We start from the raw sequence: 26003 nt of genomic DNA on the forward strand, positions 1-26003 counted from the left end.
TTGCTAGAACATTAAACCCAGCATGTTGCAGATGGAATGAGTTTTTCTCACTAAATCTAGGTCCTGCTCCTGCCCTCAGTATTTCCGTCAATGTCATGGTTTTCTGAGTTATGCACCTGCCACTTACTTTAGGCTTTTATTGCTTCTCCAAACTACTTTGTAACTGGTTTGCCTGTACAGAGAAGCTGCCAGATTTGTCTTCCAAAGCTTTCTTCCTATCACTGTGACCCCTGCACACCATTCCAGCATCCATTGTGCCATTCTCTGGAGAGCTGCTCTTCTGCATACTAGCCAAATTTGTCTTCCTTCAGTAATTTTTTTTTTCTTTTGAGATGGAGTCTGGCTCTGTCACCCAGGCTGGAGTGCAGTGGCTTGATCTCTGCTCAGTACAAGCTCTGCCTCCTGGGTTCACGCCATTCTCCTGCCTCAGCCTCCCGAGTAGCTGGAACGACAGGCGCCCACCACCATGCCCGGCTAATTTTTTGTATTTTTAGTAGAGACGGGGTTTCACCTTGTTAGCCAGGCTGGTCTCGATCTCCTGACCTCGTGATCTGCCCGCCTTGGTCTCCCAAAGTGCTTGGATTACAGGTGTGAGCCACCGCATCCGGTCCAGTTTGTTTTTTAATGTGCTGTGCTGTTGGGTTTTGTTTGTTTGATTTTTGTTTTGCCTGAGTGTCTTTGCCTATAGTGTGAATGTTTTTACTTCTCTCTTTGCCACGTTAACTCCAGTTCCTCCTTTGGGCTTTAGCTTAGGTGTTTTTTCAGGAAGCCTTCCCATACCTTCTATGTTGGATTAAGTCCTCTCTCATGCGCTTCTGAGCATCTTGCACCTCCTATTTGGTGTGCTTCTCTATAATAGGTTGTAACTTCCAGAGGGCAGGGACCTAGTGCTATTGGACAAATGGCAAGTGCTCAAATAAAAGATGTTGTTTTTTTCTTAAAATATATTTAAATTTTCCTCATTGTCTACAAAATTAATTTCAGACATTTTTAAATTCATTTCAGACCTTCTGTAATATGGCCCGACCTTATCTATATTAATTATTGAATTAGATTTGGCAACATTTAACAGAAAACCCAAATGACAGTGATTTTAACAAGATGGAAGGTTTATTTTTCCCTTCTCCTCCTCTTCCTCCTGTTTCTCCTCCATATCCTTCTCTCTCTCTCTCTGTGACACACACACACACACACACACACACACACACACACAATCTGTAAGTAGTCTCCAGGGCTGTGGGCTGGTGTGACTGCTCCACAGTTACCAGAGGCCAAGGCTTCTTCTCTCTTTATGCTTTGCCATCCTTGGCACGTGATTTCCACTCTCAAGATTCCCTCATGGTCCTAACTGGCTGCTGGAGCCCCAGGCCATCTTGTCCCTTGTGGGAATAGTGCTAGCAGAGTAGAAGGGAGACTCAGAGAGAGGAAGACAAAAAGGAAGCTAACATGAAAAAGACATTTTCGTCAAATGCTAGTTCTTTGAACTTCTGGGAAGAAAAGAGTTTCTAGGAGACCACAACTTTTTACTGCTTTGAAGATTCCAAATTCCTGAGAATATGATTCAGTTAGTGAGTAACATTCTCTATGCTGGCAAAGGAGGAAATTACCTGGATCTGGACCTATCTTTGGAGGATGAGAGAGGAGCTGTTATCTCTCCCCCACTGATACAATGATGTTGTAATGTCTTTTCAGTAGGCATTTGCCTGAGCTCTTTTTTTTGGACTATAATTTCCCCCCACCCCACTTTCTCTAATCTCTGCTTCTCAAAATCTTATCTATTCTTCAGAGCCTAATTCCTTTCTTTTCCCAGAAGCTTTTCCACATTCTCCTCATCTGGGATTTTTTTTTTTCTTTGAACCTCCACAGATTTTTGTGATGATCTTTCTCCATGTTTTAACATAGATACCGGTAAACTTATCTAACGCTTCCCTAGCTCCCTCTCACCATCGAATGCCATCCCCTTGAGTTAAGTCAGGGACTATGCCTTGTTCACATCTGCTGCAGCCATCACAGAACCTTTAAAAAAGTAGGTTCTTAAATCTTAAATGAGTGCATGCTGTGAGGGAAGGAAAGCAAATAGACTTTTTGGCTCAAATAAAGAATTGATGTGTTTAGAAGACAGGTAAAGAGAAAAGGGACGAGTTGTTGGATGATCTTGATATCTAGGCTTTGAATCTGGGCTTGGCAGGGTAGGTGCATGAGCCCTGAATATAAGGGAGCTGGCCTAGGGAGAGAAAAAAAACCATCACTTCAACTCCTGTCTTCCAGGGTGTTGACATCATTAACTGCCCCACATCCACCAGATTTCCCCAGATCTTAGTTGACATAGAGACATTCATTCTGTTTCTCACCTTAAGAAAATCCATCCTGAGTTAGCTTCAGTTGGTGCTGCTGCTAGGCTTTATGGTGATAGGCTTTGGGAGGAACTGAGAATCCCAAATGCTAGGTGGTATCTGAATGTGGCATTACGAGATATAATGCTCTAAACTCTGCAATTTCTCTTGTAAGACGGAAACAATTCAACCTGTTCTTTGACTCCTTTTCTGGGTTTTCTTGGCTCCAGGCTTCTTAGAACACTGATCACACTGTTCCACCACCCCCAATCTTTACCTCCATTCTCTCTACCCTCCCAGCCCCCACCAAAACACAATTCTTTTCAGGCAAGTGCACCATACAGGTGCTCTGGTGGTCCCGTAACTGAGGATGTAGTTGCCAGCCTTTTAGCAATATCAAGAGTTCTCTGGAGGCTCTTGAGAGCTGTGGCCTTGGTTAAATTGGACAGAATCACCTTTTTGGTAAATTCCCTTCCGATTCATTTCACAAATGGCTTAAATCATTTATGTTGTTTTGTTCAATCCAGTCAGGAAATGAAAGCATTGCCATTTTAATTGTTTTAGAACAGCATTTTACACCTAATATAGACTCCCAAAGCCAGCCAAATGCAGATTTTGGCTCCTAGATCGCTGACTGCATGCTGACTGTGTTCTTGAGTGTGGAAGAAAACAGATCCAGCCAAAGACTGATTACCTTCCAAAGGTCACAAAAGAAGTTTCTCTTTATCTAAGAAAGAAAGTAGGTGCCATTAGGTGTTGATTTTTTTTAAAAAGTCCTTTTAATTTAAACAATATTTGAATAAAAATTATGGTATAGTCAACCACAAATCAGTTGATGAAGTCTCAAATTTTGGCAGTCTCCCTTGGTTCTGTGTTCTTGGGCAAGTTTACTTTCTTTTTCTTTTTCTTTTTTTTTTTTTTTTGAGACAGGGTCTGGTTCTGTTGCCCAGGCTTGAGTGCAGCAGCGTGATCTTGGCTCACTGCAACCTCTGCCTCAAGCATTGCTCAAGCAACCCTCCCACTTCAACCTCCCAGTTAGCTGGGACTACAGGCGCATGCCACCACACCTGGCTAATTTTTGTATTTTTTTGTAGAGACGAGGTTTTACCATGTTGTCCAGGCTGGTGTAGAACTTCTGAGCTCAAGCGATCTGCCCACCTCAGCCTCCCAAAGTGCTGGGATTACAGGCAGGAACCACCATACCCAGCCTCTTTTTTTAAAAAATAATTTTTTACTTTGAAATAATTTAAGACAAGAAGTTGCAAAAATAGTACTGAGAGATCCCAGGTACCTTTCACTCAGCTTCCCCCAATGATAATATCTTACATGATCATAGCACATTGTTAAAAGCAGGAAATTGACATTGGTGCAATACTAGTAATTCAAGAACAGACCTTATTGGAATAGGTTTTACATGCAATCTGTTTTTAGTGTGTGTAGTTCTGTGAAATTTTATTACCTTTGTAGATTCATACATGCTTTTGATTTTTAATGCTCACTTACCGTCAAATTATTTGGAGCCTTTCTTTTTTTTTTTTTTTTTTTTTTGTAGAGATGGGGGTTCCACCATGTTACCCAGGCTGGTCTTGAACTCCTGAGCTCAAGGGATCTGCCTGCCTTGGCCTCCCAAAGTGCTGGAATTACAGGTGTGAGCCACCACACCTGGCCTATTTGGAGCCTTTGTGTGAATAATTAATAATAGCAAAACTGGAAATTATTTAATCTGGAAATCTCAATTTAATACTCTTAACAAAAAGACTACTGGATTAGAAAGTAGAAAGTCAGGTTCTAATTCCAGCTCTTCAACTAGGCAGTTAAACTTCTTTGGTTAAGTCATTTACATATTTGGTACATCATGTACTCATCTCTGAAATGAGTGAGCTAAATGAAACAAATCTTGATTTCCACTTTCCCTTCTCTAAACATCCTTCTGTGTACTGTATTTTAAAAGGCACCATCTGTATTTTACCACATTGTTCTAGCCAAAAACTTAGGCATCATCCTTGTTTCCTTCTTTGCTGTACCTACCCTCTTTCCTTCTGTATATTCCATTAGCAAGTCTTCTACAACATTCCCCAAATCTGTCTACTTGAGTCCATCCCTTGCCTGGATTACTGCAGTAGCCTCCACATGTACTTTCCCGTAAAACGTTTTCCACATGGCAATCAGAGCCATCTTTTAAAAATAGAAATCAGACTTTGTTATTCCTCTGCTTAAAACCTCCTCCTAGGACTTTACATTGCACTGAGAATCAGAGCTCCTCACCAGGGCCCAAAAGGGACACCGTGACCTGGGGACTCCTGCTGGCTTCTTCAGTCACATCTACCATTCCCTGCCTTCTCCCTGTAGCCCAGCACAGGCCTCCTCTGTCACTCCAGTCGGCCAAGTCAGTGCCCACCTCGAGGCCTTTGTTCCAGCCTAGCCGTTCTCTGTGCCTGGTGTGCCCTGCTCCCAGTTTTGCTCTAATAAGTGGCTCCCTCTGGTAATTTAGGTGTCAGGCCTCCTTGATGAGGCCTGCCTGATCAAATTAGCCACCTCCCAAGTCACTTTCTGCAACATTATCCTGTTTTGTTTCTTGCACAGCATTTAACACTATCTGGAATTATCCTCCGCACTTGATTGGACTTGTTACTTGACAAGCGAATTTCCCTTCTCTAGACTGTAAGCTCTTTCAGAAGTAGGGCAGCTTTAACTGCCTGGTTTATCCTGCATCCCCAGACCCCAGGACAGTGCCTGTCCCATCAATAATTATGTGTTGAGCAGATGCATTTATGGACCAGATCATCACAGAGGATTTTGAAATTGAAAAAATTACTTAATTAAATGAAATGTTTAAAATTAATTTTTTGGGATTCTGAAGGGAACTTTTATGATTAAATTTCTGTGTACTACAGGTTGCCTATTGTGTAGTCATGTTTTAGTAAAAGTTCTTTTCCTGAGGCAGGACCATTTCAGATGGGAAAGATAAGTTTTCTGTGCTCTAGGGACAGTCTCCTGTCTGCCTTGAACACATTAGACAGATGACCTTAATGATCGGAAGAGATGCATTGGAAATACATTCCTTTCCCTCATCAGCAGTGCTTTTGCATTAGCATTGAGCAGGGTTTGACTTTCTTGGTGATACAGAAGGTGCAAGAAGCTTAGTATCATGTGGTTTGACATTTAATCAGACTTGCTTTCCTTGTTAACCTAAAGGCCTTCCTCTTCTTTGGAATTTAATGTGTCAGTAATGGCTCCTAGAGCTGGAACAGATGGAGCTGTTGATGTTCTCACTTAAACGAAAAAAAACATGATTTATATCCTCAGCTTCATTTCTTAAATTCTTGTTGAACTTTCATTTGATTGTCAGAGCCACATAACCAGAATGTCACTAAATTTGCTTTCGCGGCATTACCATCTACTTTTGCTTTTTAAGCAGTTTTGGAAATGTGATGTAGTATAGGAACATGAGTACATGTTTTTAAACATGTATTATTCGGAGTTAATGATTCACTGCTGCTGAAGGAGTAGTTTCTGTGTGAAGGCAATGGTTATTTTTTTCATTAAATATTCTCATCAGAAGTTAATATGTTTTTCTTCTCTTATTCTGGACTTGTCTTATAAAAAATACATGTACTCGTATAGCTGCCAATGAGACAAGTGTTGACATTTTGGTTTCTTTTGTTATGGTTTTATTGTTGTTATTGCTAATGAATGATTTTTGAAGCAAATATGTACTTTCAAGCAAATATGTGCAAATATGAAGTTGGAAGATGATATTTTCTCTTAAAAGCATTTTACCATTTTCACATTGCCATGCCCTTAGCTTTCAGGGTGTTTTCTTGAGTCATTATTTTCTTTTGTTGATTCTTTAAAATGTACCAATGGTGAGTGTGAATTCATAGTATGAAAAATGTGGGTGATAGACTATGATTAGACATAGTTCAAGATAATAGTTTATATGAAAAATTGATGCTCTAAAGCATTTGCTACCAAAATTTGTTTTTTTGTGTGTGTGTTACCTTTACTCTTCTCCCTGGGTCCACTTAATGGTTCTGTATTTTTTTGGAGAGCCAAATATGTCTTGAAGGTAGTCGGGGAGAGGGAGGAGGAGCAACATGAAATGAGTGTGCTGTTTTATCAGAAGCCACTTATTCACAGGGCCTGAAGTGATAGCTGTTGGGAGAAGTGATATTCATACTGATGGGGGTAAAACTGCCTACTCATTTTGGGGAGCTTTTGTTTTCATAATAAAAATTGTTTGTACAAATAAAGGATGTTCTAAAGGAGAGGACTATTTGCAATTGAGTGTTTTCTATTCTGGCAGCATCCGATTGAAAATCATTTCAGAAATTCTTAGTATTGCATGCAATCATTGTTTAGTAGCTAGATCTTTTTAACTTTATGATAGAATTGTGCATTTCATTTCTGTTTTAAGTCCTATCCATGTATTTAAGTAGTGTAATAAATTATTTTCTTGCCAGCAGGGTGACTTGAGTGAAAAAATATGTATAATTTGGCCAATAGCCTAATTCTGTGACCTCTACAATCCAAATGGATGCCGTGGCTTTTACTTTGGTTACATTTCAAATGACTTTAATTGGCCTGAAATTCTATTAGTATGATTGATTCAGGATACCCATTCAAAGTCATCTCATTTGTCTGTGTCATTTGTCATGGATCAAATCTCTGGGCAAAGCAGTCATTGAACCTTGGTTAAACCTCAGACTGTGTCCGTCTGTCAATTTTATAAATGATTGGGAGGAAGGCACTCTTGTGAGTTCTGGATCAGTAGTGATATAATTCTGTTTCTGTTTTTTGCTTTTTTAAATCTACTGCTACATAATAAACCACTCCAAAACTTGGTGCCTTAAAATAACCATTTTACCTTGGTCATGATTTTGTGGGTTAGGAATTAAGAAAGGGCTCAGCTGGGCAGTTTGTCTCTGATCCACATGGTGTCAGCTGAGGAATCTGGGGATAGGGGATCCACTTTTGAGATCTCAGACTCAGATGTCTGGTGCCTTGACTGGGGTGCGTGGCTCTGGGCAGGGGGCTTAGCTGGGGCCCAGCATGTGGTCTCTCCATGTGGCTTAGGTTTCTTTCAGCATGGGAGCTGGGTTTCCCAAAATGTGAGGATGGAAGCTTCAAGGCTGAAGGTTTCTCAGGATGTAGACTCATAAGTCCCAGAACACCAGTTCTCCTGCTTATTGGTCAAGTAAGTCACTAAATTCAACCCAGACTTGGGGTCAGGAGGGGGTCAGGGAGGGGAGTAGCATTATCCTTCACTTTTCATTGGGAGAAGAAACAAAGGATTTGAGGCCATCATTAATGGCTAGTGATGAGATCACATCAGAATAGCATTTATTTAATAGCAATTTATTACTCTCCTGAGGTTCAGGTGGCTTAAAGTGCAAATATTAGTAGGTAGTTCCATGTAAGGGAATCCCATTCCAAGTGGCACAGCCTTCATTTAGACAAAACTCTGATGTAATTCATTCTAGTCATTTGATGGATGGAGACTCTAAAAGTGGCATGAATATAATCTCAAAATATCTAGAAAGATGTCAGTCCTCTGAGTCATTGTGCAAACTAGTTTGTTGAGAGAGTTCAAAGGCATCATGGATCTTAACAGCTAGAAAAGATTCTAAGAGATTACATCATCATTATCACCTTCTGGAAAGATTTATTGAGCATCTGTTAGGTGCCAGGCCCTGGGAATACAGAAGAGAATATGACTGATTCTTGCCGTTGAGACATAGTTGAGGACATAGAATTGATACACAAGAGATGAATAGAAATCCATGGAATATAGACTAACTGGTAAATAAAAGTACAGGTGATAAGAGCACAAGAAGGAGAAGTAATCAATAGAGGCTTAGCTAGGGGCTGGGAAAGGCTGTAGGGACTTTCCGTCACTCCGAAAACATGAAGTCCAAAGTGGTGGCCATTACCTACAAGTCCCTTTGAGATCTGGATCCCTGTATCCTCTCTGATCCCCTTTGCTACCTCTCTTTTCCTCACTCACTGGCCTTCTTCCATGGAAGTATAGGCATTTGAGGATCTTTGCCACTTGCTCATTCCTCTGCCTGGAATGCTCTTTTTCCAGATATTCCCATAGTTTGCTTTCTCACTTCCATCAGATCTCTGGTCAACTGTGCTCTCCACCAGCCTTCTCTGACCACTCTATCTACTTCCTGTTCATCAACACATTTATCTCCATGAAGCCAGGGCATTGTCTGCCTTATTAATTATTGTATCCTGAGCACCTAGAGTAGTGCCTGGCATCATTGGTGCCCAACAAAATATGGTTGAATGTATGAATGAGTAAATGAATGCAGAATCTTGAAACAGGGTGTGCTTTTTGGGCTGATAGAACAAAGTAGTGTAAACTGGGTAGCTTATAAACAATAGAAATTTAATTCCCACAGTTCTAGAAGCTGGGAAGTCCAAGATCAAGGCACCAGCAGATTAGGTGTCTGGTGAGGGCCCATTTCCTGGTTCATAGACGGTACCTTGTTGTGTCTTCACATGGTAGGAGGGTCAAGATAGCTCTCTCGGGCTTCTTTTATATGGGTACCAATCTTGTTCATGAAGGCTCTGCCAAAGGTAAGATTTAGCAAAGTGGAGAATAGATGATATTGCTGGATGCCTGCAAGGCAGAGTGAAAGAGAAGCAGAAAGTTACATAATATATTCATAGATCATGTGCATCAGCTCTCTGACACCAGGGGTCCTTATTTTACAACTCTGAGTCCTGCAAACCATTTTGCGAATATGTAAGCATTGTAATAGGGCTTGCACAGGAAGTGATTTATTTTTTTCTTTATTTTTAACTTTTATTATAGGTTTGGCAATACATATGAAGGTTTGTTAGGTAGGTAAACATGTGTCACAGAGGTTTGTTGTACAGATTATTTCATCACCCAGGTATTAAGCCCAGTACCCAGTAGTTATCTTTTCTGCTCCTCTCCCTCTTCCTACCCTCTCCCCTCAAGTAGACCCGAGTATCTATTGTTTCCTTCTTTGTATTCATATGTTCTTACCATTCAGCTCCCACTAAAAAGTGAGAACATGCAGTATTTGGTTTTCTGTTCCTGAGTTAGTCTGCTAAGGGTAATTAGCCTTCAGCTCTATCCATATTCCCACAAAAGACATGATCTTATTCTTTTTTATGGCTGTGTAGTATTCCATGGTGCATATGTACCACATTTTTTAAATCCAGTTTGTCATTGATGGGCGTTTAAGTTGATTCCATGTCTTTGCTGTTGTGAATAGTGCTTCGGTGAACATTCATGTGTGTGTGTCTTTATGGTTGGATGATTTATATTCGTCTGGCTATATACCCAGTAATGGGATTGCTGGGTCGAATGGTAGTTCTGCTTTTAGGTCTTTGAGCCATAGTACTTTCCACAAGTGGTTCATTTTAACTAGAATAGCTGGTTCATGACTGGTGGCAGTTATTGGAGAACTTGCCTTTCTTGAAAAATATTCTGTACTATACCATTTCTTTGTCTTTTCTCCTGCTCATATTTCTGTCTGGAATATCCAGCTTTTTGTATTGACCTGTTGAAATTCCACATGAATGTTCCAAAATATAGTGACTTAAAACCACAGTTTATTATTTCTCACAATTTGGTGTGTTGGCTGGGTTCAGCTGAGTGGTTTTCTGTTCCATGTGGTGGTGTCTGCTAGCATCACTAATACAGCAGATGTTTTCAGTTTCAGAACTTGGCTGGACTAGAATGCCCAAGAAAGCTTTACTCTCATGTTTCCTGTTGGCTGTGCACTAGAGTTCCTTAGTTTTCCTCCATAATATCTCATTTCCCCTGGTATCTAGACCAGCCACCTTACAGCATGGTGGCTGGGTTCCAAGTGTGAGAATAAGGAAGCTTTTACTTCATTTTCCTTTTCCTTTTTTTTTTTTTTTTTTGAGACGGAGTCTTGCTCTGTTGCCCAGGCTGGAGTGCAGTGGCACAATCTTGGCTCACTGCAACCTCTGCCTCCTGGGTTCAAGCGATTCTCCTTCCTCAGCCTCCCTAGTAGCTGAGATTACAGGTGCACACCACCACACTGGCTAAATTCTGTATTTTTAGTAGAGATGGGGTTTCACCATGTTGGCCAGGCTGGTCTCGAACTCTTGACCTCAGGTGATCCACCCACCTTGGCCTCCCAAAGGGCTGGGATTACAGGCGTGAACCACCATGCCTGGCCAGCTTCTATTTCTCTTGAAGCCTAGATCTAGAACTGGCACATCAGTTTCATCACATCCTATTGGTCAAAATGAGTCACAAGGCCAGCCCAAATTCAAAGGGAGGGGAAGTAAATGCCCCTTCTTGATGGGATAGTTGGGATGCGCAGACAGGGATAGGAAGAATGATTAGTGGTGAAGTTTGCTGACAGTCCTCCTCAGTATGCTTAGATATTTGTTAGCATTATCTTTTCAGTAAAAGATAGGTATTATTAGTGAAGTCCAAGGCCTTTGAGTATTATTTGAACCCTTTGGTTTTGAGCTATGAATTGTTTATAGAGTGAATTGCTTGAACATTTTGGGCTTTATTGAGCCACAGCTGAAGATGATCATTGATTGACTGCCCCCCTCCACCCCACCCTCCCACCCCCGCCTTTTTTTTTTTTTTTTTTTGCTTTACTTGCCATTCATATTGTGTTGTACATGTTCCTCTGGGTATATTAGAGGTTGAAATCAAAAGCCAAAGGAATCTGAAGGGGGTCCTCAGCTCTTCTCTGGGTCTTACTGTAACCTAGAGCAAGTGACTCCATCAGCAGGACAAGTAAACTCAGGAAAAGAAGCAAAAAGGAAACAAGCCAGTTGCTCTGGGCTGAGATAATGTTAAATGGCAGAGGGAAGCTTGAGTTACTCAACTGCTGCTTGGCTTCCATCTTCACTGTCCTTGTTTCTCTGATTCAATTCTTGCTTCCTACAGTTGATTTCCCACATAGGCAAGCAGAGGGATCTTTTAAAAATGTAAGTCAGATCATGTTATTCTCCAGCTTAAAAACCCGAGGGGGGATTTCATTGTACTTGTAATAAAATCCAGACTCCTCATCATAAATTAGCTCCCACTCTTGCCTCTTTACCTCTTCTCTTACTCTTCTCCCCTCCCTCTTTATCAGCCACATTTTATTTCTTTCTGTTCCTTGAGCCCTTGAGGTTCATTCTGCCAAATTCATCCCATTTTAGGGGTTTTGTACTTGCTGTTCCCTCTCTCTGGAACACTCTGACCCTAGATCTTTGTGTGGCTGGTTCTTCATTCAAGCCTCAGCCCAGAGGACCTCATAAAAACCTTTTGTACCCTCCTAGACTCTTTTTTTTTTTTTTCTGGAGACAGAGTCTCACTCTGTCCCCCAGGTTGGAGTGCAGTGGCACAATCTCAGCTCACTGCAACCTCCACCTCCCCAGTTCAAGTGATTCTTGTGCCTCAGCCTCCTGAGTAGTTGGGATTACAGGCGTGAGCCACCACTCCTGGCTAATTTTTGTATTTTTAGTAGAATTGGGGTTTCACCATGTTGGCCAAGCTGCTCTTGAACTCCTGACCTCAGGTGATCTGCCCACCTCGGTCTCCCAAAGTGCTGGGATTACAGGCATGAGCCACCACACCTGGTCTCCTAGACTCTTAACAGTGCACTAGACACTCGCCCTCTCACAGTTCCTATGTTCTGTTTTTTTCTAGCACTGACTGTTCTTTTTCTCTATTTTCTCATGTATAAAGGTGGGGTTAATGAAAGAGGTACATACTTCGTAGAGTTGTTAAGAGGATTAAACTAGTTACTATTTAGAAGAGTATCTGGAGCATGATATTGCTCTCAAATATAGCTTTATTGTTATATCATTCTTTACTACCTGAAATTGTCCTGCTTAGTTATATGCTAGTTTATTGTCTTTCACTTATTGCTAGTGTCAGCCTTTTGCAAGCAAGGACAGCATTTACATATCTTTTTTACAGCTCATCCGTATTCCTAGTGTGTTGTCATACACAGTAGGTCCTTGACAAGTACTCGTAAAGTCAATAAATGAAAGGCAGGAATATTTATTTTGAACAGGCCAGAAAAAACATTAGTAACATTAAATTAAAGCTTGCGAAAGTTGAATGGATTGTAAAAGATTGTTTAGTTGTTCAAAATGGGTTTTGGATTTTTGATCCAGAAGCATTCTGTTCCAGGACACTGAAAGAACCCAGGGATAATTCATTGTTAATTTTTATTTTTATGGAATTTTGAAGAGTGAGAAATTGTTGGAATTATGAAGACAGGTAAATGACATTCTGATTTTCGAGAGTGAGGAATGTGGGCTTAAAAACTGTAGACTAGGAGCTTTATGCTACTTGTGGGCAGAATTCTAGAATGGGTTATTAAAAGGATGATTTGTGAATGCTTAGGACAGTGTTGTTTAGTGGGAAAGTGGAGCACCCTTAGAGAAAAGAGGCCTGGAGAAATGAATTGATTTTTTTTTTCAGGTGACTACTGAGCTTGGTGGCAGAATTGAGAATAAAGACTCCCTGACTTCAGACCAGTGTTCTCTCTGTTCCAGTAGTGTTTTCAATCTGGGACCATAGAGCTGCTCAAATTCAAGCAAAATAGAATCTTTTTTGTGTGTGTCTTTATTTTGAAGATCGTTTTTTTTTAAAGCCATTTTCAAAAACAGTTTTTCAGTTGGGGTACATTGACCTCTGAAAGTTCTAGGACACAGTCTCAGGAGCCCATGAGATTTAGTTCTCCTTCCCACCACTTCAAAAGAGGTCTGTGCGGTACTCTAGGTTCAGAAACTTGGCACCATGATATTTTGCCAGTTTATCTTATTAACTGAATGCTGTCTGTAGTGACTCTGCAGAAAACAGTGTTATGTTCTTCTGTCAGACTTGTGCTGTTCAATATGGTTGCACGTAGCTATGTGTGGCCATTGAGCGTGAAAATGTGACTCCTGTAAGTTGATTATAGACTACCATGTAATATAGTCACCCCTCAGTGTCCGAGGGGTATTGGTTCCAGGACCCCCTGCACATACCAAAATCCACAGATGCTCAAGTTCCTCATATAAAAATGGCATCGTATTTTTATGTGATCTACATACAGCCTCCTGTATACTTTAAATCATCTCTGGATAATTTATAATACCTAATACAATATAAATGCTTTGTAAATAGTTGTTATATTGTTTGTTTGTTTTCTTAACGTTTTTTTTAATGGTTGTATTGTTATTGTTTATTTAAAAAATATTTTCAATTCAAGGTTGGCTGAATCTGCATATACAGAACCTGGGGATACAGAGGGCTGACTATATCATACACATTAGATTTCAAAGACTTAGTATGAAAAAATAATGTAAATATCTCATGATTTATTTTGAATATCTGTTGAAATGATATTTTTGATATATTGGGTTACATAAAATATATTAAAATTAATTTCATCTGGCTTTTCCTTTTTAAAACGTGGCTACTAGACAATTTAAAATTATATATGTGACTGGCATTCATTAGAACTTGACACCTCTCTCAGGAGGAAAGGTGGAAGGAACTGGTGGATATCACTGTGCAGATGAGGTGATATGACAGCTGCCTTCAGCTCTTTGGATGGCTCTCATTCGTAAAAGAGATTCTTTCTGTTCTGTGTTTCTCAAAAGGTCGAACGAAGACATAGAAAAAGCAAGTTAATGTAAGATAGACCCTTCTAAAATAGTTGTCCAAAGAAAATATAGGCTCCTTCTAGAGATAATGAATTCCTTGTCACTATACATAATTCAAGAAGAGGCTAAATAGCTGCTTAATGAGGTTGTTTAGAGGGAGATCAGGTGGTTAAAAGTAATGCCTTTCCAATCCTGAGAATTTGTGACTTGATGAAATTGGGCAAAGGGCTGATTTTACAGCTACATGAAATAAATGGATTCCGTGGGCAGGAGAAGAAAGCATTTTATTTCACTCCCTGTGCTTTTCCTTTAAACTTTCACATGAGTATTTTCCAGTTGAGGAGCTTTTGCATTCTTGGTTACAGAAAGATGTTTGATTGTCTAATCCCAGGGAATCTGGTGAACAGTGTATCAGTTAGGAATGTGCTTGGCAACAAGTAAACAAACAAACAAACCAAAGTGACAATGGCAAATAAGTAGAGATTTATTTTAATCCTGTAACAAGAACTCTGGAGGTCAGCTGCTTCTGGCATTGATTCATTGGCTCAAAGGCATCAGAGCGAGTGTCTCTGCTATTCTCTTGGCCTTCCTTTTCCTCGTAGTAGCAAGGCAGTCACAGCTACCAACAGCACATCCGTAAGGCTGGAAGAGGCACGGAAGTTGCTCAGCCCCTACTGCGTCTGTCACTTTTTCTTGGGAAAAGAAGTAGTCTTTCCAGAAATCCTCAACACAATTCCTCTTCTGATTCATTGGGCAGAATTGTCTCATGGCCACTCCTTGGTACAAGGGAGGCTGCAAAGTGAATGTTTGCTCTTCTAGACTCTACGATTGAGACAAGACAGGAGGAGAAGGAGGTTGGGAATGGCATTTGTGTCAGCCAAAAAGAACAGGGTCTGCCGCAGATAGTTTTAGGTGTGACTGAGGGCACCACTCCCAAGTCAAACATCAAGTGCTTGGGAGTTGAGACATCATCCAATGTCCTTTTTTTATTAAAAAAAAAATTCTTTCACTAAGTGGTTTTAGCTGCCATTGATGATTGTAGCCTTGGATGAGTTTTATTAAACAATTCTTTCTTTTTAGAGAAGAAAAAATTGAGGACCCGAGAAGTTAACGCCTTTGATTTCTATTGAAATTACTCATAGGGTAAGAGTGAGAGTTCTTGCTTTGCCCTTTCCACCTTCCTGACTTCATCAGCAAAGAAGAGAATCTTGGTTTTATTTTTCATTATCTGCAAATGATATGTCCATAACAGTAGTTATTTGTCACAAAAATACTTCACAAGAACATTGGTAAACACATACAAATGTTAGCAGTTCTGAACAGGCATTTATTGTAGAGGAACCTGTTTATGATGAGAAATATGAAAGAATTGAGACAGTGGGCCTCTACCATAGAGGAGGGAAGAAACTAGTTGGGTGAAATTTAGTGTTAGGATGTTTTGTCAAAAAACTATTTTTGGGAGGCTGAGGCAGGAGGATGGTTTGAGCCCAGGAGTTCCAGACCAGCCTGGACAACATGGCAAGATTCCATATCTACAAAAATAAATAAATAGAAATTTAAAAAAATTTTTTTCATCTTTAGCATTAATGGCAAATATTTAGAGCTATATTTAATGGAAGTATATGTGAATTGGTGGTATAAACAGATTTTTCCAAACTCTTTTTACTTGTAATTTCTGTGGCTGTAACAACTTTTACTAGCCTCTTAGGAGTTTCTTAAATCCTTTTTCCCCATTTTCTTTGGTCTATGATAAAGAAGTAATCTGAAGTAGAAAAAAATTATTTAGGCTGGGCACAGTGGCTCATGCCTGTAATCCCAGCACTTTGAGAGGCTGAGGCGGGGGGATCGCTTGAGGTCAGGAGTTCGAGATTAGCTTGGCCAACATGGTGAAATACAAAAATACAAAAATTAGCCAGGCGTAGTGGCAGATGCCTGTAATCCAAGCTACTCGGGAGGCTGAGGCATGAGAATCGCTTGAATCCAGGAGGCGGAGGTTGCAGTGAGCTGAGATTGTGCCACTGCACTCTAGCCTGTGTGACAGAGCAAGACTCCACCTCAAAAAAAAAAAAAAGGAAAAAAATTACTTAGATGAGCTAATTTTTGAAGATGGTCTTATAAAGTTTATTTTTTATTAATACACTTTATTTTTTAGAGCAGTTTTAGATTCCCAGCAATATTGGGTGGAAAGTATGAAGAATTGCTATATACTCCCTTCCCCTGCAGATGCACAGCTCCTCCCACTGTCTACAGTTCCCAGGAGAGGTGTGACATTTGTTATCATTGATGAACTTATATTGACACATCGTTATTACCCAAAGTCCATAGTTTACCTTAGGGTTCATTCTTGATATTGTACATCCTATGGGTTGGGACAAATATATAACGACATGTATCCACATTTATGGAATCATACAGAGTATTTTCACTGCCCTAAAAATTCTCTGTGCTCTTGATTGTTCATCCCTCCTTCCACACAACCCCTAGAAACCACTGATTGTTTTACTATCGCCATAGTTTTGCGTTTCTAGACTACTATATCGTTGGAATCATGTAGTGTGTGGCCTTTGCAGATTGGCTTCTTTTACTTGGCAATATGCATTGAAGTTCCCCCCATGTTTTTTCATGACTTAATAGCTCGTTTCCTTTTAGTGCTGAATAATATCCCATTGTCTGGATATCACCGTTTATTTATCCATTCACCTACTGAAGGATATCTTGAATGCTCCAAGTTTTGGCAATTATGAATAAAGCTGCTTATAAACATCTATGTGCAGGTTCCTGTGTGGACATGCATTTTCAGTTCATTTAGGTAAATATCAAGAAGCATGACTGCTGGATCATATTTTAAGAATATGTTTAGTTTTGTGAAGAATTACCAAACTGTCTTCCAAAGTGGCTATACCATTTTGTGTTCCTACCAGCAATAAATGAGAGTTCCTGTTGCATCACACTATACCAGCATTTGGTGTTGTCAGAGTTTTGGATTGTGACCGTCTAATGGGTGTATAGTGGTATCTCATTGTGTTTTAATTTGTGTTTCCTTAATGATATATGATGTTGAACATCTTTTCACATACTTACTTGCCATCTGTATATCTTCTTTGGTGAGATATCTGTACAGGTCTTTGGCCATTTTTTAAATCAAGTTGTTCATTTTCTTGTTGAATTTTAAGAGTTCTTTGTCTATTTTTGGTAACAGCCCTTTATCATATGTGTCCTCTGCAAATATTTTTTCTAGTCTAACTCATCTTCTCATTCTCTTGACAGTGCCTTTCACAGAGCACACTTTTTAATTTTAATGAAATCTAGCTTATCAATTATTTCTTTCATGGATTTCTGCCTTTGGTGTTATACCTAAAAAGTCATCACCATACCCATAATAACCTAGATTTTCTCCTATGTTATCTTCCAGGAATTTTAAAGTTTTGTGTTTTACATTTAGGTCTGTGATCTATTTTTAATTTTTTTAGAGTTTCGCTCTGTTGCCTAGGCTGGAGTGCAGTGGCATGATCTTGGCTTACTACAACCTCCGCCTCCTGGGGTTTAAGCAATTCTCCTGCCTCAGCCTCTCAAGTAGCTGGGACTACAGGCATGCACCACCACATCTGGGTAATTTTTGTATTTTTAGTAGAGATGGGATTTCACCATGTTGGCCAGGCAGGTCTCAAACTCCTGACCTCAAGTGATCCACCCACCTTGGGCTCCCCAAGTGTTAGGATTACAGGTATGAGCCGCCGCACCCTTCCTGTGATCTATTTTGAGTTAACTTTTATGAAGGGTCTAACATCTGTGCCTGGATTCTTTTTGTTTTTTTGCACGTGGATGTTCAGTTGTTCCAGCACCATTTGTTGAACGGACTGTCTTTGCCCCATTGTATTGCTTTTGCTCCATTGTCAAAGATCACTTAACTTTGTTTATGTGAGTTTAGTTTTGGGTTCTCTGTTCTATTCCATTCATCTATTTGTCTGTTCTTCTACCGATATCACACTCTCTTGATGACTGTAGCTGTACATTAAGCCGTAAAGTCAGGTAGTGGCAGTCCTTAAACTTTGTCCTTTAACATTGAGTTGGCTGTTCTGGGTCTTTTGCCTCTATATATAAACTTTAGAATCAGTTTGCCAGTATCCACAAAATAGTGTGCTGGGATTTTTGTTGGGATTGCATTGAATCTATGAAGTTGAGAATAGCTGACATTTTGACAGTGTTGAGTCCATGAACATGGGATATCTGTTTATTCAATTCTTCTTTGGTTTCTTTCACCAGTTTTGTGGTTTTCCTCATATAGATCTTGTACGTATTTTATTAGATTTATACCTAAGCATTTTGATCTTTGGGGGGGTGCTAATGTAAATGGTAATGTGTTTTTAATTTTTAATTTCACTTGGTCATTGCTGGTATATGGGGAGGTAATTGACTTTTGTATATTAAACTTTTATTCTGAATCTTCTTATAATTGCTTATTAGTTCCAGGAATTTCTTGTTTATTCTTTTGGAATTTTCTACATAGACAATCATGTCATCTGTGAAGAAGACAGTTTTGTGTCTTCCTTCTTAATCTACATACCTTTTGTTTCTTTTTCTTGTCTTATTGCACCAGTTATGACTTCCAATTTGATCTTGAAAAGCAGTGGTAATAACGGACATCCTTGCCTGGTTCCTGGTCTTAGTGGGAAAGTCTCAATTTTCTCTCTTTTTTTTTTTTTGAGACACGGTCTGGCTCTGTCACCCAGGCTGGAGTGCAGTGGTGTGAACATGGCTCACTGCAGCCTTGATCTCATGGGCTGAAGTAATCCTGCCACTTCAGTCTTCCAAGTAGCTTGAAATACAGATGTGCACCACCATGCCTGACTAATTTTTGTATTTTTTGTAGAGATGGGGTTTTGTCATGTTGCCCAGGCTGGTCTTGAACTCCTAGGCTCTAGCAATCTTCTTGCCTCAGCCTCCCAAAGTGCTGGGATTACAGGTGTGGGTCACTGTGCCTGGCTGACTTTCTCACTGTTAAGTATGATGTTAGCTGCAGGGTTTTTAAAAATATGTTTTTTATCAAGTTGAGGAGATTCCCTTCTATTCCTAGTTTGATGAAAGTTTTTATTATGAATAGGTGGTGAGTTTTGTCAAATGATATGATCATGTGATTTTTCTAATTAAGTCTGTTGATGTGATGGATTAGATTACATTTATTGATTTTGTATGTTGAACCAGCCTTGCATAATTGGGATAAATCCCACTTGGTCATGGTGTATAATTCTTTTTATACATTTTTAGATTTGATTTGCTAATACTTTTTTGAGGATTTTTGCGTTTATGTTCAAGAGAGACATTGGTCCATAGTTTTCTTTTCTTGTAATGTCTTTGGTGTTGGTATTAGGGTGATGCTGACTTCATAGAATGAGTTAGGAAGTATTTCCACTGCTTCTAGTTTCTGAAAGATATTGCAGAGAATTGTTACAATTTCTTCCTTAAATGTTTGATAGAATTTATCAGTGAACTCACCTGGGCTTGGTACTTTCTATTTTAAAGGTTATTAAATATTGATTCAAATGTTTAATAGATGCAGGCCAACTTAGATTGTTTATTTTTGTGTGTGAGTATTGGCAGATTGTGTTTTTCAATGAATTGTTCCTTTTCAGGTATGTTATCAAATTTGTGGGCATAAAGTTGTTTATAAAACTTCTTTATCCTTTTAATGTTCATGGGATCTGTAATGATGTTCTCTTTTTCATTTCTGATATTAGTAATTTGTATTCTGTCTCCTTTTTTCTTAGCCTGTCTAGATGCTTACTGATTTCATCTATCTTTTCAAAGAGCAAACATTGCTTTATTGATTTTTTCCATTGATTTCTTGTGTTCTCTTTCGTTAATTTCTGCTCTAATTTTTATACTTTTTTTTGCTTTTGCTTACTTTGGATTTAATTTGCTTTTCTTTTTCTAGTTTCTAAAGGGGAAAACTTGGGTTGTTGATCTTAGGTCTTTCTTCTTTCCTAATTTTTGCATCCAAATCCTATGCATTTCCCTTTGCTTTAGCTAGAAACTACAAATTTTGATAAGTTGTTTCCATTTTTATTTAGTTCAAAATATTTTTTTAAATTATCTTGAGAATTCTCTTACCCCTATGTTACTTAGAAGTGTATTGTTTTATCTCCAAGTACTTTGGAATTTTCCAGCTATGTTTTTGTTATTAATTTTTTATTTAAGTCCATTGTGATCTGACAGCAGATTTTATATGGTTTCTATATTTTTAAATTTATTAGAGTGTGTTTTATGGCCTAAAATGTGGTCTATCATGGTGAATAGTCCACATGAGCTTGAGAAAAATGTGTAATCTGCTGTTGTTTGATGGAATAGTCTATAGATGTCATTTACATACAATTGATTGATGTTGAGTTTATGTCCTTCCTGATTTTTTGCCTGCTAGATATGCCTATTTCTGAGGGATGCTAAGCCTCCAAATGTAATAGTGGATTCACCTCTTTTTTCTTACAGTTCTATCAGTTTTACCTCATGTATTTTAATGCTCTGTTGTTAGGCACATACACACTAATGATTGTTACGTATTCTTGGAATATTGACCCCTTTATCATTTTGTAACGCCTCTCTCTATCTCTGATAACCTTTCTTGCTCTGTAGTTTGCTATGTCTGAAATTACTGTAGCTACTCCCACTTGCTTTTGATTATTGTTAGTGTGGTATAGCTTTCTCCAACCATTTAAATCTACATATGTCTTTATATTTAAAGTGGACTTTTTGTAGACCACATATGATTGGGTTTTGTTTTTTGATCTACCTTGACAATTCCTGTTTTTCAATTAGTGTGTTTAGACCATTGGCATTTGAGGTGATTGTTAGTTGGGTATATAGTTGGATACCTACCATATTTGTTATTGTGTTTTATTTGTTGCCCTTGTTTTTTGTTTCTATTTTTATCTTCCACACTTTTTTGCCTTTTATGGTTTATTATTTAGTATTAAATCATTTTACATTATTCCATTTTCTCTTTTGTAACATATAAAGTATACTTGTTTTTAAAAATTATTTGTAGAAATGAAGTCTCAACTGTGTTGCCCAGGCAGGTCTCAAACTCATGGGCTCAAACAGTCTTCCCATCTTGGCCTCCCAAAGTGCTGGGATTAACAGATGTGAGCCACCATGCTCCTTTTTTTGTTTTTTTAAACTTTTTTAAAGTGGTTTCCCTAGAAGTTTGCTGTATATATTTACAACTCATCCAAGACCAATTTCAAATAACTCTGTACTAATACATGGGCAGTGTATTTCATTATAATAATGAAATATTCCTAATTTCTCCCTCCTGTCTTATGCTGTCATTCATTTCACTTATACGTTAGTGTATATAACTATATGTGTATGCACATACACAAACACACACACATATATATATACACACACAGCCCTCCATATATGTGGGCTTTGCCTCCATGGAGTCAACCAACTGTGGATCAGAATATTTGAAAAATAAGGGATAATTGCATCTGTACTGCACATGTACAGATGTTTTTCTCTTGTCATTATTTTCTAAACAATACAGTATAACAACTATTTGCATAGTATTAGGTATTATAAGTAATCTAGAGATGATTTAAAGTACATAAGATGATGTATGTAGATTAAAAGCAAATAATGCATCATTTTATATAAGGGACTTGAGCATTCATGGATTTTGGTATCCACTGGGGGTGGGGCCCTGAAGCCAATCTCCCATGGATAATAAGGGACTACTGTACACATAAGCATACATAACCAAATACATTGTTGCCATTATTATTTTGAACAAACTTTGATCTGTTAGATCAATTAAAAAAATAAACATTTTTGTTTTACCTCCACTTACTCCTTCTTGATGCTCTTGTTTTCTTTATGTAGATCTTATTTCTGACCTAACATTATTTTCCTTCTCTCAAAAGAACTTCTTTTAACATTTCTTGTAAGGCAGGTCTACTGCCAACAAACTCTGTCAATTTTTGTTAGTCTGAGAAAGTCGTTATTTCTCCATCAGTTTTGAAGGATAGTTTCACAAGGTACAAGAATTCTAAGTTGGTGGGTTTTTTCTTTTCCTCTCCACACTAAATAGTTCACTCCACTTTGTTCTTGATTATGTGATTTCTGAGAAGGCAGATATAATTTTTATCTTTGTTTCTCTATAGCCAATTTACTTTTTTTCTCTGATTTCTTTCAGGAATTTTTCTTTATCTTTTACTTTTTGTAGTTTGAAACGATAGCCTAGGTATAGTTTTTGTTGGCATTTATGCTGCTTGGTATTCTCTAAGCTTCCTGGATCTGTGGTTTGGTGTCTGGCATTAATTTGGGGGCAATTCTCAGCCTATATTGTTTCGTATATTTTTTCTGTTTCTTTCTTTTTCTCCATCTAGTATTTCCACTATACCTATGTTAAACCTTGTATACTTGTCCCACAGTTCTTGGATATTCTGTTTTTCAGTCTTTCTTCTCTTTGCTTATCAGTTTTGGAGGTTTCTATTGATACATTCTTAAGCTCAGATATTCTCTCCTTAGCTATGTCCAGTCTACTAATAAGCCTACCAAAGACGTTCTTCATTTCTGTTACAGTGTTTTTGATCCTTAACATTTTTTTTTCTTAAGATTTCTATTTCTTTGGTTACATTGCCTATGTGTCCTTGCATGCTGACTATCTATTAGAGCCCTTAACAAATTAACCATAGTTGTTTTAAATTCCCTATCTGATAATTCCAACATCCTTGTCATGTCTGTTTCTGATGCTTGGTCTGTCTCTTCAAACTGTGTTGTTTTGCCTTTTAGTATGCCTTGTAATTTTTTCTTGATAGCTGGGCATGAATATGGGGTAAAGGGATCACTCTTAAGTAGGCCTTTAGTAATGTAGTGATAGAAGTGTGGGAGGAGAGGAAGTGAAACCATCTTTGCAAAAATTATGACCATGAGAAAAATTTTGGCATAGGAAAGTTATGGCAGTGAAAGAAATCTAACCTAACTGACTCCATGTTGCTTCTCACCTCCAAGCTGTTCCTATTCATTCCTGGGCATAGGCCAAACAAAATATAGGAGGAATTTACTTTATAGTTTAATTTTGAAGCAAAGATGATAACAGCCCCTTCCTGAGACAAACCCCCTCTTTGCTTAGGGATTAGACCATCTTTGTAAAACTGAAACGTTAGCCACAAGATTAGAAATTCTGGCTCAGGAGTCATGTAGCCAGAGGCCACAAGATTCCTAAACTTCCCAATTGCTCCTATAGATAACATCACTATTGTAAAACCTAAGATTGGTGTTTGAGGTATTTTTCTGACCCTGCATTCTGATGAACCAACCAGCTGGTGCCACCCAGACTGGTAAACTGGCTCATCTGGTCTTTTGGCCCGCACCCAGGAACTGACTCAGTACAAGAAGACAAACTTCGACTCCCTATGATTTCAACCCAACCAATCAGCATTCCCTATTCCCGACCCTGCTGCCTCCAAATTATCCTTGAAGAACCATAGCCTCTGGATTTTTGGAAAGGCATATTTGAGTAATAATAAGCTCCTGTCCTCTTGCTTAGCTGCCTCTGGGTTTATTAAACTCTTTCTCTATTGCAAAAACCTGCTGTTCAGTGCATCGGCTTTGCTGGGCAGTGGGAATGATGAAACTGCCTGGTGAATACAGAAGTGTTCTCTTGTCCTATGAGTAGGTCTCAGTCTTTGAGTAAGCCTGTGCCTCTGGACTGTGAACTTCACAGTGTTTCTCAGGTTTTATTTCCTCTTAGGTGGGACAGGGTCGCTAGACTCGGCTGGAATTATATGTTTCTGTTCATCACATGGAAGGCTTGAGTGGGCTAGAGCTGAGAATTTCTCTTCCCTCCAGGCCCGTTAGGCTGTGGGAAAATCCACTGTCAGATGAGGCTCTGGTTAGGTAGCTTCTCCTGAGGACAGGCCTTGTTAGGAAGACCCCAGTGCTCTGGCATATTTCAAAATGGTTCCTTTTCCTTCTCCTCCTGCTGGAAAGGGATTTTTCTTGGGGAAGTTTCTGCTCCAGGCCGGGTGCAGTGGCTCACACCTGTAATCCCAGCACTTACTTTGGGAGGCCGAGGTGGGTAGATTATTTGAGCCCAGGAATTCGAGGCCAGCCTGGATAACATAGAGAAACCCAGTCTCTCCTAAAAATACAAAAACTAGCTGGGTGTGTGGTGCATGCCTGTAGTCCCAGCTACTTGGGAGGCTGAGGCGAGAGGATCCCTTGAACCTAGGAGGTCAAGGCTGCAGAGAGCCCTGATCGTGCCACTGCACTCCAGCCTGGGTGACAGAGCCAGACCCTGTCTCAAAAAAAAAAAAAAAAAATTTCTGCTCCAGTATGTTGTGATTCTCTGTATCTGCCTGTCTGTTGCTTCAATTTCAGAGGCATCAGTTTACCTTGTGATCTCACTTTTCTTACAGAACTAAGAAGACTTGTTGATTTTTCAGTTTGTTCAGCCTTTTTACTTGTTAGGATGGAGTGGCGACTTTTCAGCTCCTTAAATACAGAGCTGGAAACCAGAAGCCTCTTGACTTTTCATTTTTTGCCTTTGAAAAAAGTCAGGTAGTTAATACTTCTCTTTCAGGGTGCTGTTTGAAAATTCTGTTATGCAAAAACATAATGTAGATAATTTGTATTCCCAATAAATGATAAGGCACATTGGATATAATTGTTACTGTTTTGTATTTTTTAGCATAGTTTTAGATGTTTTATTTTGCTACAAAGGAATTTTGAGCAGAAGATTGTGACATATATCTGTAAAGAACAGACTTATTATTATTATTATTATCATTATTATTATTATTTTGAGATGGAGTCTCGCTCTGTTGCCCAGGCTGGAGTGCAGTGGCGCGATCTCGGCTCACTGCAAGCTCCGCCTCCCGGGTTCACGCCATTCTCCTGCCTCAGCCTCGCAAGTAGCTGGGACTTCAGGCACCCGCCACCACGCTTGGCTAATTTTTTGTATTTTTAGTAGAGGCGGGGTTTCATCGTGTTAGCCAGGATGGTCTCGATCTCCTGACCTCGTGATTCGCCTGCCTTGGCCTCCCAAAGTGCTGGGATTACAGGCGTGAGCCACCACGCCCGGCCCAGACTTATTATTTTTTATGTTCATCCCCCTGTTAATTATCTTTCACTCACAATATTCCCTTTGCTTTTCCTTTTTACCAGTGGTCCAGTATGGGTATCAGTGGAACAATATATGTCTTAAGAATAAAGCAATTTTAAACCACCATGACTAGTAGCAGTGTTTAGCTGAGTTCTGTTGCCCAGTTGTCACCAACTACTGCATATACTCCCTAGATATACAGTTGCATGTTCTCACACTGTCCTGTTTTGAAGAAAAAAATGTTTTTAAAAAGTAGAAATTGAACCAAATGCCATTACTGTCTTTATTGACTTGAAAGGCCCTCATTCCACCCAATCCTGCCCTACTCCTCTTACCCCAATTCCTTTGTGAACTACTTTGGGAAATGCTGCTGGTGGTGGTGTGTGATGATATTTGTAAGAGCATGAAAATAAAAAGCTGGGAATATATAAGAGATTCAGATTTTGCTGAAGCAGAGAATTTGACTTGTGGAGTATTGTAATGCAAAATTTGGTGCACTGTTAATGGAAAGCATTTGCTATATTAAACAGTAAGGGTCTATTGTAGGTTGAGAAGCTGGGGAGATTTATTTTACCATTTAGCATGTAGAGAATTTGAATAGGAAAGTAGGTGTGTATAGAGTGCCTGTTTGTCCCATTCATTGTTGGGGTTTATATATACCTTTCTCTCTTAATCCTCAAAACTCCCTGCCTGTAATGTAGGTATTTTCCCCATTTTGCAGATAAGGAAGCTCAGACACATGAACTTTTCCAAGGTCTCAAAGCTAGTACATCGTGGGGCTGTATTCAAACCCAGGGCTGACTTCAAGACCTATTATTCTTCTACTGAATTAACCTGAATGCTTGCAAAGTCTGTGGCTCTAATTGTTTCTGTGGCTAATTAATGTTCATGAACTGGTGAAGAGTAAATAGTTTAGTTTTTTTTTTTTTTTTTTTTTTTTCTTG

The 26003-nt window shown here is 39.1% G+C and overlaps 1 protein-coding gene and 1 long non-coding RNA gene across 12 annotated transcripts in view; one reads left to right on the plus strand and one right to left on the minus strand.

The window, feature by feature from the left end:
• Positions 1–26003, plus strand: part of CRADD (CARD and death domain containing adaptor protein) — a 217466-nt gene that overhangs the window by 22745 nt on the left and 168718 nt on the right. Inside the window, exon 3 of one of the 10 annotated variants that reach the window (XM_017020145.2) lies at positions 12787–24271. The exons of the other annotated variants lie outside the window; for them this stretch is intronic. Within the exon in view, the coding sequence (XP_016875634.1) occupies positions 12787–12797 (11 nt within the window). The 3' untranslated portion in view covers positions 12798–24271. Of the gene's footprint in view, positions 1–12786; positions 24272–26003 lie in introns of those variants that run through there. 10 annotated transcript variants of the gene reach the window in all.
• CRADD-AS1 (CRADD antisense RNA 1) overlaps positions 7672–26003 on the minus strand; it is a 30033-nt gene continuing 11701 nt past the window's right edge. The window contains exon 3 of one of the 2 annotated variants that reach the window (NR_110092.1): positions 7672–8964. This is a non-coding gene — a long non-coding RNA (CRADD antisense RNA 1). Of the gene's footprint in view, positions 8965–14415; positions 14778–26003 lie in introns of those variants that run through there. The other variant, NR_110093.1, reaches the window with a different exon arrangement.

This window comes from Homo sapiens, chromosome 12 (assembly GCF_000001405.40).
Source record: "Homo sapiens chromosome 12, GRCh38.p14 Primary Assembly".
In the NCBI taxonomy this organism is placed as follows: domain Eukaryota; kingdom Metazoa; phylum Chordata; class Mammalia; order Primates; family Hominidae; genus Homo; species Homo sapiens.